Source organism: Homo sapiens, chromosome 5 (assembly GCF_000001405.40).
Source record: "Homo sapiens chromosome 5, GRCh38.p14 Primary Assembly".
NCBI lineage: Eukaryota > Metazoa > Chordata > Mammalia > Primates > Hominidae > Homo > Homo sapiens.
The window spans coordinates 118,433,779-118,446,918 of NC_000005.10; the positions used below are offsets into that span (position 1 = coordinate 118,433,779).

Genomic DNA, 13,140 nt, shown 5'->3' on the forward strand with positions numbered 1-13,140 from the left:
TTCTTTGTAAATATCACATCACATGATAAACCTTGATAAACCAATTGGTATCACCATACATTGATATACATGTCACCAAAAAAGTATTCCATAGGTCAAGTCCTCGGAAAATTTGAACTAAACAAAGTCTACTAAGTTTCTTTCCTAAGAGCAAAAATTTAGCATGTGATGGTGTATGAAATTACTTCAGCACATTATTTTCTTCCCATTTTATGGAAGTTTCATTTGGAACATGGTTTGAAAATAGATTTTTGTTTGTTTGTTCCTTCAGTCCCACCTGGACTTAATTGATTAGTGGGTTTTTGTTTTTCATTTTTATTTTTTATTTTTTGAGACAGTCTCGCTCTGTTGCCCAGGCTGGAGTAGAGTGGTGCAGTCTCAGCTCACTACAACCTCCGCCTCCCAGGTTCAAGCGATTTTCCTGCCTCAGCCTCCCGAATAGCTGGGATTACAGGTGCCTGCCACCACGCCTGGCTAATTTTTTTTTCTGTATTTTTAGTAGGGACGGGGTTTCACCATGTTGGCCAGGCTGGTCTCAAACTCCTGACCTCGTGATCTGCCCATCTCGGCCTCCCAAAACGCTGGGATTACAGGCGTGAGTCACCACAACCGGCTAATTAGTGAGTTTAATGAGACTAACCAGGTGTCACTTATGGCTTAGGTGTATGCCTCCCCCCACCCCACAAGAAAACAGCTTAGTTCCTGAATAGGCATGTCAGTTTACTTTCTTCTGGAGTCCTCAGCTGAAAGACATTAACTACCATTAATTCTAACATTTGTAGTCATGTTTAACTTATCCATTTCTTGCATCTTAGGATTTCATGTAGCCTAGTTTCTTCCATCTTCTGATAAAGGTACAGCTTCATATTCTAGGCTTTCAGACCTTTATATAGCTCCAAAAGTACTGAATGTACTTTCCTTCTCTCACGCTGTTTTGCCACGTTTATCCACTTACCACTTTCTTCATCTTGGCACTGATTTTGCTTCATCTGCATAAAATATATTTTCTTCCTGTCTCCCTTCTTGGATTATTTATTACACCTTGTCTAAACATGTTCAACACTTTTGGAAGTGGCAAATCATAACACAAAAGAAAAAGAAACCACTGTTCCAAGAGCAAGGTGAAAGATTTTTGTTATTATTAGTTATAGTTCTGAGGAGAGAATGTGACCAGTGAAAAGGTAAGATCATTATGGGGTTAAATACTGCAAATAACAAGCAAGTGAATTTTATAAAAGTTTCTTATCCTTATTGAATCTCAATTTTCTCATCTTTAAAATAGATATAATATCCAAAGGTAGATTTATGATATAGAATGCATAATCTGGAAAATAAGAGATATTCAATATATATTAATTACTCGCATCCTGTTTCCTTGGGGCAATCAGTATTTGTGGAATTCAGACAAGCTACTTTATTCCACTTACTTCATCCACCACAAGCAAGAAGTTTAAACCACATAATGTTAAAGGGCCTTGAATTTCTAATACTCTGTGAGCATAAGGCATGTTCCCTTCACCTCCTTCTACGGGAATCCAGCCACATGTCATTGCACATAACTGGGAGTCTCTCTGCAGAAAGGTAAGAACAACATGTACCTCAGAGGTCACCAGAGCAACTCCCTGGGTGCCCCTACTTGGTGTCTCATGATGAATTATAGCCTTTCATGGGCTTCCCTAAAACGTCCTTTTATAAGTAGTTGCAGAAATAGTTTACTTATATTTCTTCTTATTTCTCATAGGCTACGTATGCTGCCAAGAAGTCCAGGGATTTACAAAGTTTTATTAAAAATTTACTTTTCTAGCAATAAATTTCAATCACTAGGTTCTAGGCATGTTGGTCAGGGATGTTCTGGGTACCAGCCATATAAATGAGTGGTTCTTCTGTTTTCAACAAATGGGGATTTCATACCACTCTAACTCTTCCTGAGTGAAATGACAGTCTACTGTTCTCTCCATTATAGTATTAAACTGACTTCATTAGGGTTGCTGATACTTCTTTTATTTTCCTTTCAATCTCTTATAATGGATTAAAAAAATACAAATCTAAAAATGCATTTATTACTATACTTTTCTCTAAAAGCATTGCCCAAAATAATACTTTAAAGTAAAGTAACTAATATTCTCTAATATCCCATATGATAGCTATCAGTAGTTTAATACTGCCTTGAAAAGTACATGGAAAAATAAACCAATCCAACTAGCGAAGATATATTCATGTAATATTATATGTCTGACAAATTCACTCAAGCTAAAAATAATTAGCATTAAATCAATAAATTCAAGCTATGTGCGTAATCATCCCAATCTTTTAGAAGTCTGCTTTGCCACACCCTGTTCTCTTTTTTCTACTACATGTCATAGTTAATAGGTTTTTAATTAATACACAAGTATTATTTCTTTTTTCTTTTCTTTTTTTTTTTTTTTTTTTTAAGACAGAGTTTCACTCTTGTTGCCCAGGCTGGAGTGCAATGGCGCGATCTCTGCTCACCGCAACCTCCGCCTCCTCCCAGGTTCTAGCGATTCTACTGCCTCAGCCTCTCGAGTAGCTCGGAATACAGGTGCCTGCCACCATGCCCAGCTAATTTTTTGTATTTTTAGTAGAGATGGGATTTCACCATGTTGGCCAGGCTGGTCTTGAACTCCTGACCTCAGGTAGTCCACCCACCTAGGCCTCCCAAAGTGCTGAGATTACAGGCGTGAGCCACCATGCCTGGCCCTATATGCAAGTAATATTTCTAAAAAAGATTAGAAATTACTTGTTAGTAATGATACCTAACATTCAATCCCACCTTCTATGTTTAGACAGACTTGACCCATCTCTCTGGGATCTTTTGATAGCTATCTTATAATCAAAAAGAAAATGTTCAGAGAGGCTAGGTGCTTTGCTCAAGGTCACCCAATAAATATAGGGCAGAACTAATATAAAAGCTCAGGTCATCTAATTTCAGTGTTCTTGTTCTTATTATAAGACTCCACTGCTTCTCAATTTATGTCATAGCCATAAAAATTAGCATTTAAAATATTTTCAATTTACTTCTAATTATTCAGTTCTTCCTTTATCGTTCAGTTTAAGTGCTAAATATGACCCAAAAAAGGACTTTAATACAAGCCTACATTTAATGAAGTAAAAAGTCGTTTTATTTACCTAGCATCTTTTGTATCTCTATTAATTGCTGATTGTGTAACTGTTGCCTTTTATCAAATAGAAAAAGTCATTATTTGTATGATAGTATTTGAAAGCACACTTAGCCCAGAATATCTTCCTCACTGCATATCATTTGTTTACCTGACGTACAATCTTGTATAATGCAGCCACCATAAGAAATGGGTCACCCTAACTAATATCAGCTAATATTTTAGGGAAGGAAGGTAATAGATAATGAGCTAGCAAACCTGATAAGATCTCAAACAGAAATAGAAGTCAGGGTCTGTCTCATTTTATTTTTGTGTGTTTGTGTATGGCAGGCAAAAGTGCAGAGTATTATTTGGAGGTTGGAAGAAAAAAGTAGCCTGAAGGTATTGAAATAGAATACATAGTATAAAGGTCTCCTACTTTTTATTATTTGACTTGAGTTTAGCTGCTCTAAATTGAGTTCATCTTGCAAAGCATTAAAGCTGTTAGGTGACCGTGAGAAATCTTGAGGCCACTTGCCCTCTAACTTCCACACCACCAAATGCACTAATTCAATAACCTCAGAGCTCTTTTTGACCCCCGTCTTTCTGTACAAAGCTTGAGTCCTCATACAGCCAGATGAGACACTGAGTATTAGGGAAAACCTACATTAAAGCCAAGGCTTCACCACCAGGCAATATATGCATGTAACAAAGCGCATTTTCTATCCCTTAAATATATTGGCCAGGCGCAGTGGCTCACACCTGTAATCCCAGCACTTTGGGAGGCCGAGGCAGGTGGATCACGAGGTCAGGAGATCGAGACCATCCTGGCTAACGCAGTGAAACCCTGTCTCTACTAAACATACAAAAAGTTAGCCGGACGTGGTGGAGGGTGCCTGTAGTCCCAGCTACTCCGGAGGCTGAGACAGGAGAATGGCATGAACTCGGGAGGCAGACCTTGCAGTGAGCCAAGATCGTGCCACTGCACTCCAGCCTGGGGAACAGAGTGAGACTCTGTCAAAAAAAAAATCTATATCTATAGATACAGACATATATATATATATATAGATAGATCTAGAGATATACAGATATATACAGATATACAGATATAGAGATATATAGATATACAGATATAGATATCTATAGATATAGATATATAGATATATAGATATATCTATAAAATATCTATATAGAGATTTATATAGATTTCTATAGATATATCTATATACAGATTTCTATAGATATATCTATATACAGATTTCTATAGATATATCTATATACAGATTTCTATAGATATATCTATATACAGATTTCTATAGATATATCTATATACAGATTTCTATAGATATATCTATATACAGATTTCTATAGATATATCTATATACAGATTTCTATAGATATATCTATATACAGATTTCTATAGATATATCTATATACAGATTTCTATAGATATATCTATATACAGATTTCTATAGATATATCTATATACAGATTTCTATAGATATATCTATATACAGATTTATATAGATATATCTATATACAGATTTATATAGATATATCTATATACAGATTTATATAGATATATCTATATATATCTATATATAGATTTATATAGATATATCTATAGATATATCTACAGATATCTATATCTACATATAGATATATATCTAGATATAGATATCCACAGATATATCTATAGATATAGATATCCACAGATATATCTATAGATATAGATATCCACAGATATATCTATAGATATAGATATCCACAGATATATCTATAGATATAGATATCCACAGATATATCTATAGATATAGATATCTGTAGATATATCTATATAGATATCTGTAGATATATCTATATAGATATCTGTAGATATATCTATATAGATATCTGTAGATATATCTATAGATACAGATGTAGCTATCTGTAGATATATCTATAGATACAGATATAGATATCTGTAGATATATCTATAGATACAGATATAGATATCTGTAGATCTATAGATATAAACTTAAAAAGAACATGTACAGGGTACTCAACTTTTCTACCTTGTGCTTTAAAAAAGAGAGGAGCCCAGATTTGTGCATCTGCTCTTTGAATGACCTAACAACACATCAAAATTTTATCTAGTTTTAGCTAGCTAGTTTGGAGTTTGAGATTGCACAAATTTGAGATGTTTCTTCTTCATTTTTACAACTGATATGTGACAAGTGATGAAATTTTCAGCATAAATTTTGCCATTGGGGCTTCTATCTTTTTTTATGATTTGTTATCAGGCCCTGCTATCCTTCAAGCCACAAATACAAGTGCAACTTTCATCTGCATTTCAAATTGAGGTTAAGTATAAAAATTAAACATTTTCATCTTATTCTGGGTATCGGTCACTCTCTGTCTGCTCCAGAAAGAGCAAGACATACTTCCTGCTGCGTCTCTTTCAGAATGAGTTCTTGGAAAGGCCATAAGAGAAGAATAACTTGTTATTAACACGTCTACAACATATATAATTTACAGCTCTACCTACGTATTCAGCATTTAAATATGGTTCCCAAACAGCTTGGGGAAAAAAAAAAACAGGACAAAAGAGTTTTTTTCAACTGTGTCAGCTACAATCAAACAAGTAAAATAGTAAAATAAAATACAACCACCCACCCTCAACATATAAAGTAAACCTCTTAATTTCTACTAGAATCTGGTGGGTTCAATTATTGAAAAATGAAGATTCTATAAGAATATGATCATATAAACATCTATTTAATGTCTCATACAAAGGAAAAATAAACCGAAGTAAAAGTGCTTTAAAATATTTTATTAAATATTACCAATAATACCCAATCTATTCATACCTAAGAAAACACATCTTGCCTGATCTGTAAATCACTGTCACACTGATTGTATGTAGTTGTGTGTTGTGGGTGGTGCTTGTGTTTGTGGATGAGGGTGTGTAATCAATTTTCTTCTTTGGAATTTAACTTTAGAAGAAGTGCTCAGATCCTGCTGGGTAGCTAAATGAATCAACCTGTCTAAACATTTTTTTTTTAACAACAACTCTATCTACATTCCAGCATCTTGAAACGATTGTAAAACCACAGACCAAAAAAATTAAATTAATCCCCAGTGGACTGTAAAGGTTGCTGTTAATAACACTCATCTGAACTTAAGGCTTTAAGAGTTGCACGTCTGTCAAATAAAGGAGACAGAGAGCAAGGAGGGGAAGCAAAGACAGCCTCAAAACAGGGAGAGCACTTTCAGCTTCAACAGGTACAAATTGCAGATGGGAAATAGACTGTTAGCAAAATAAATTATTTCCTGCCCTCTTGCAATTTTTCACAACCTGTGTGGCAAAGATTTTACTGCTGACACCATCAACATATTCTTAGCATCTGTAGTCATTTACTGTGACCTAGTGGGTAAATCAACCCTCTTCTCCAAATAACCAAACACCAGATTCTGTATAATGCAAAATGCCGTCTGCTTTCCCGAGTGTGCAATGGAATTAGAAAAATAGAATTGGTCCAAAAGCTGCATTTATTTAACAAGGTGGTTATACAGAGAGCAAGCATTTATGAAGTCTCTTTTTATTTTCAAACTTCTGGCTCAATTTACACCAAAACAAATTCTAAACTGCTCCTTCAGGAAACCATTTTCCAAATGATATTCCTCCCTGAACCTCCCTAAGTGCATACAAACACACTCCTACATATCCTTATCCTTCCCTCTGTCCCCCTCCTTGCCTCCAAAAATGAAGCACTCTCATCTATTTGTTACTGTTTATTCAAAATAGCGACAAGGAGAGTAAGGCCATTTGAGGATAACAAAAAGAGACTCGATGTCACTTGCTCTCAAGACAAACACTTGACAGCAGTCTGAAACCACGTCGAGCCATGTTCTATTAAAAAAAAATCTATATCTTTTGAACCCTGCCTATTTATGAGCAGACAATTCTGAGTAATGTTACGCTTTGGAGCTTGAGAGAAAGCCACAAATATCATGCTTGGAAAATAGTGTCTCTAGACTAAAACTGATAAATGGCTGTTATGAGTGTGTCTTTTGAAAGAGAGTGTTGTGCAGACACAGCACAATCCCTAAAGAACGAGAGAAAAAAAGTCATATGTGAAGAATAACACACACAAGGGCCTGAAGTGAAGGTCACCGCACTGTCACAATCATGAGAAGCCCTTTGACTGAAAGATCACATACCATCACTAAATTGTAGATTCAGAGTAGCCTTTAAGGAGCGTTCAATTGACCCCTCTTGTTTGTTAATCATGAGAACATTCAGATCCAGAGTTAAGTAACTTCCTCAGGATAAAACACGAGATATGTGACAGAACTAGAACAGGAACTTCAGTCCCCTGTTGTGAGCCTAGTATCCAGTTATGAATCTTCTGTCCCTTACCAGCCCATATCTACTCAATCAGAAGTCAGCTGAGATACTTAGCCTTTTTGTTTTTGTTTTTGTTTTGTTTTCTTTCTGTTTTTTGTAGACAGAGTCTCGCACTGTCTCCCAGGCTGGAGTGCAGTGGTGCAATCTCAGCTCACTGCAAGCTCCGCCTCCCGGGTTCATGCCATTCTCCTGCCTCAGCCTCCCAAGTAGCTGGGGGTACAGGCACCCGCCACCACGCCCGGCTAATTCTTTGTATTTTTAGTAGAGATGGGTTTTCACCGTGTTAGCCAGGATGGTCTAGCTACTTAGCTTTAATCTGGGCTTCCTAAAAACAACAATGCAGGTAGAAATGGTAAAATTCATTACAGAGCCAACCGTATTTTTACACAAAACAAATATGTTGACAAAAATGATAATTATAGGCAATAAGGTTCATATATTGTTCTTAAGATGAAAAGGATCTAAAAGCATTTGGACTGTAGTGAATTTCTAACCAAAAATGAAATCAGTAGACTACTGGCCATGATAACTGATCTTTCTTCCAGCTGCCCTTGTTTGATTAGAGACACTTCCTAGAACTTTAATGTATAAGGAAGACGGAAATGATGCTCACTCAGGTATCTGGCACAAGGTAACCTTGTGAGGAGGCATTTGAGAATAACTAAATTTTTTTTTAAAATACCCTGTTTGTCATTACTTCAGCTGATTTGAACAAAACTGTGTTGTACTGAACTCTCTGGTCCCTGGGGAGTGACCGGATCTACCTTACTCTCACGATTAACTTAATCAGTCACATATGAAAGCTTTAGAAAAACAGTGATGTCCCCCTCTGCTACACTACATCAAGCAGCCACATGTTGTCCCACTGCAGACAGACTGTCACTTTCACTGCAGAAGCTGTCATAGGATGGAAAAAGTTATCTGAGTGCTTGACAGCCAGACAGCCTGTTTTGGGGAAGAACACAAAGGTCAAAACCCTTGCCTGGAGTTCAAATATTTTTCTCTTAGAATAGCAATCCTGAATGAACTGTCAGTGTTTTGAGTATATTTTCCTTAGTTCAGGTTTTTTAAAATAAGTGGTTAGTCATTCATTTCTGGGGCAAAAAAGAGACCCAGTTTTTTAAGAAGTTTCTTCTTGTATCAACAAACTTTCCATTTTTAAGAAAGAGTTACAGATGATTTGAATATCTAGATCAGTGGTATTCCTGAAGATGAGAAGTATATGAGGCAGGAGGCAGAAGCCTTCCTGGTAACAACCATCTCCCTAAAAGTCATTAAGAATATGCAGATTTGAATGAGCAAGTCTCTGAATCAAAGCTCAAACAACCCTTTGTTGTAACCACAGAAAAATGACACCGTGAAATATAAAAAGATTAGTAAAATAGGAACCATCAAATGAAATTATACTTTTTATATCAAGATGAATTTCAGCTTATTTCTCCAACAATAAGTTGTTACGTCAACAACTAGGAAAATTTAAAGACAAAACCTGGAAAACTTGTAAGAAAAGTATGCTATGTAAACAGAAAATAGAGAAAGTGAATCAAATTAAACAGCCTTCCCCTTATTTATTATTCCTGATGAAGTCCCTTTTATTATGTGTGATTTGTGATTAAAAGGGAAAGTGAATATTTATCACAATGGTGTTGTAATACCATTGTTTACATAAATTAGCATGGGGATGGATTGATAATCTAAGGTTCATAGAAAAGACCCATGCCCATGATAGAGCTCAATTCCATTACAGCAAATACCATTATAAGCCCTGTCAACAACATTCTTCAAATAAGATTTCTCAAATAATTTAAAAATCTAACAAGCTAAATAGGATCTGAGCAGTTTGGAGTTTTTCTTTTCACTTGCCTTTATTATGATTGAATTATAGCATCTTGTTCTGTGTGACAATTTTTTAAATATCTACAAGGTCCAAAATATTGTGCTAAGTATTGCGGATGAGTTTACAGAGCAGATTATGTATGAATAAGTGGGAGCAGCTCAATAGAGTTTGAAGACTGAGGCAGAAAGCAGTTGTACAGAGCTGGGAGGAACAAAAGGCAGGACAGGAAGGAAGCCAGGGAGCAAGGGTGAGGGCATGCAGAGCCTGCACTGAATAAGGAATTAGCTGGAGCCCTGTGGTGCTTCTCAGCCGCTTTTACATCTGTGCAGCATTGCTGTCAACCTGAAAGAAGCCTCGGCCAGGTACAGTGGCTCACGCCTGTAATCCTAGCACTTTGGGAGACCGAGGCGGGCAGATCACAAGGTCAGGAGTTCAAGACCAGCCTGGACAACATGGTGAAATGCCATTTGGACTAAAAATACAAAAATTAGCTGGGCGTGGTGGCACACGCCTGTAATCCCAGCTACTCAAGAGGCTGAGGCAGGAGAATTGCTTGAACCAGGGAGGTAGAGGTTGCAGTGAGCTGAGATTGCGCCACTGCACTCCAGCCTGGGTGACAGAGACTCCGTCATAGAAAAAAAAAAAAAAAGAAGGCTCACCCATTCTGAGAGCTGTAGAATAGACAGGATGAGGGCCTGCCACGCTGCTGGGATAATATTTAGTGGGCTTCCTTCTAGCTTGCTACCTGTTTCTAGGACAGATTGGCATGAGGGGTGATTTTTACTGCTTTTCTTTATGGGCCTTAAGTGGATGGGAATGGGTTAATCATAACCCTTGCATGGTCCTCTTTAACCTATTTATCTATCTGTCTGATTACTTTCATAATGGCATAAAATCCCATTTCTAGGCAGATTTGACTTGGAGATATAAACTTCTTAGCTACAATTAAAAGACCAGAAATGAATATCAGTGTCCAATCAGAGTCAATGGATACTAACTAGACCTAGGATAAAGTTGCCAAATTTAGCAAATAACAACTCAGGATACCCTGTTACATGGTAAACAGTATTTTTTAGTATAAATGTATTCCATTCAATATTTGGTACATGCTTATATTTAGAAAATTATTCACTGTTTATCTGAAATTCAAATTTAACTGGTTGTCCTATATGTAACCGGCAACCATAGTTTAGGGCTTCAGAAAGTCTAAAACAGCAACACATTTACCTCTCATTGTTTGCCACTGATTTTATGTGTAAAACATATAAGAATTGTCTTCCATTATATTCGTCAACCTAATTATGTCAAAATAGTATAATTCAAGTGCATGCAAGGCACAAGAAAGAACCAGAATACTAGACGAAGCTAGACATTTTCCATTTCTAAACATTTTTTCTACATAGCTAAAAAGGTGACTCTTAGAACAGTTCATAACTAATGTTGACAAAATGTCTTACTATTCTCTTATTCGTACCTGTAGGATTTTGCTTTGAGATTCAAAATCATTTCAAATTTAAGTGGACAGACTGTTAAAACTATTTACTAAATTTGAATTAGACACAGTCACTCACACGCATAAAAAGATAACTCTATGGTTTACACAGCAAAGATTAAAAGATAATTTAAACACATCATTCTAAAAGTCAGATCAAATTATTAATTCAAAGACTTCTATCCCCAAAGTTACCTCGAAGAAAGAATAGAGATAACAAATGTGGATAATCTTGACATTATGTCAGAAGTACTAGGGCTCCAACATCCACCACTAATACCAAAGAAGAAAAATGCCAAACTGAACTCCGTGCTATGTAAGAAGGAAAGAGGTTAAAAACAAAAACACAACTTCACCTATGGAAAGAAAAGAACAATAAAGAACAGTATTTCTGCATCAGGTAAAAATATTCTGAAACAAAAGATCCCAAATCTTGTATCCACAACATCCTGACACTGAGAAACTCTTATTATGGATACCATCTCTTCTCCAAGCAAGACACCCCCAATACCTTGCCTGATTTACTACCTAAAACAAGGCTAAGAAGGGACAAATGGCACAGTCTAGATCTCCAAATGTCAGGATGACAAATGTTATTTCTCTATTTCAAAGGACAAATCATCGATGCAGAGAATAACAAAATTTCAAAAGCACTCTGGCATGGTATCCTGAGAGGAAATTAAAGTAAAACAGTAAATCCTATCTTGAAGTAAAAGCCTATATCACAGTCCTGACGTGAGATACAAAGCAAAGCCAGTGGGACACTCAAACAGAAAGTGGAGAAAATAACTTTCCTTCATGGCAGCTAAGTCCTATACATACAGTGCACGAATTCCATGCACTCCACGGGTGAAAGGTAAGTTAAAGAAGTAGCGTTTAAGCCAAGAGGTGGAATTTTTCCAGAATGAGATCATTATTTTCCAAATAGAAGATGCTGCCTCCTATGTGACATTAACTTTTAGCAAGCTAGTAAACCTTCCTTTGCCTCAGTTTCTTAATCTGCATGTGAGAAAACAACAGTACTTATTTTATAATAAAGTTGTTATAGGAATTAAATGAATATTTGTAAGGTACTTAGTGTCTGACACATGGAACAACACACTAAAAGGAGTTGGCTATGTCAAGAAATCTTGGACATAAATACCAAGGAGTCCAGAGTCCTGGTTATTAGCAATAAAAATAATTATCACATAAGCTAACTGTGTGGCATAGCACTTCATAGAATATTCATATGTATGACCTCATTTGATCCTTTTGACCTCCCTGTGAGAGGTGTAATATTGACCCCATGTTATTAAGAAGTCAAGAGGTTGTCCCAAGATTGGGTGCCCAATACAGGTAAATAATAGCAACAGCTGAGTTTGTTTTTTTTTTTTTTTTTTGGTAGCTTATTAATCTTTGGATTAACTTTTAATTTGATGGCTTATACAGGTTCCACATTCTTCTTTGACCCACTTTTTTCTCCTCTTTACCCCTCACTAGCACTGCAGGAAACATGCAGGATAAAGAAAACAAAAGAAAATGTAAATTTAAACATGCCAAGTTTTTGCATCTGACTGGCAGAGTCATAAGACCATAACCGAACTGTTAGGGCACTTTTCTAAATTAAGCAACAAAAATAGTTCCCTCTTCCTCTCTGTCAGTAATTTTCCCACCCCAGCATAATTACAATGTTTTCTCCTGTGAATACCAGTTTTTAAAATCATTTATGTGACTGTGTATAGCTCAGCTATGAGATTTAAATGAAAATTTTGATAAATGCAAGTAATTGGCGTTAATTTGCATATTCCCCAATGATTGCCATTGGTTTAGGGTAAACAGTCTGAGAATCTTTACTGCATCTCAAATAATCAGAGATGGCAGTGCCTACATGGAACTGGTTAAAAGGTCACTTTAGGACAGAGATAAATAATCTAAGGAGAGCCTAAGAAAAGCAGCAGCAAAGGCCCATGCAAACCAAAGGACTCCACTATGATGAGCAAATGAGCAAAACGCTTAGGCTATACATTTTTAAAAAATTCAGTGAAAAAGCTTATTTGTTCATTTAGAAATATTAATTAACCCCTAATATATGCCAGGCATTGCACTGAGTATTATAGATTCTGTGGGGAGAAAACAAAGACCTGCTCCTGTTCCATGAGTGCGTACATTAGGTGATAAGGTTAGATCTAGTCTGGGAAGGCAAGGAGATTATCTCTGTACAAGTGAAAATTGTGCTGAGCTATGAAGTGATATTAACTATGAATAAAATGGGCAGAACAATATTCAAAAAATGTGTGGCAAAAGGGATGCAAAGTAACTGAAG

General features: G+C 36.2%; 1 long non-coding RNA gene across 1 annotated transcript in view, besides 1 other annotated feature; it reads right to left on the bottom strand.

Moving 5' to 3' along the window:
- The window catches only part of LINC02208 (long intergenic non-protein coding RNA 2208), a 211,152-nt gene that overhangs the window by 82,813 nt on the left and 115,199 nt on the right, over nt 1-13,140 (bottom strand). The gene's annotated exons all lie outside the window — the stretch shown is intronic.
- Nucleotides 1,653-1,822: an enhancer, noted in NCBI's record as "experimental_80810 CRE fragment used in MPRA reporter constructs". NCBI's record gives its function as "activates a minimal promoter by MPRAs in K562 erythroleukemia cells, with activity observed for the introgressed 5:117771211 variant allele {active_cell/tissue: K562}" and the evidence as "EXISTENCE:reporter gene assay evidence [ECO:0000049][PMID:34662402]".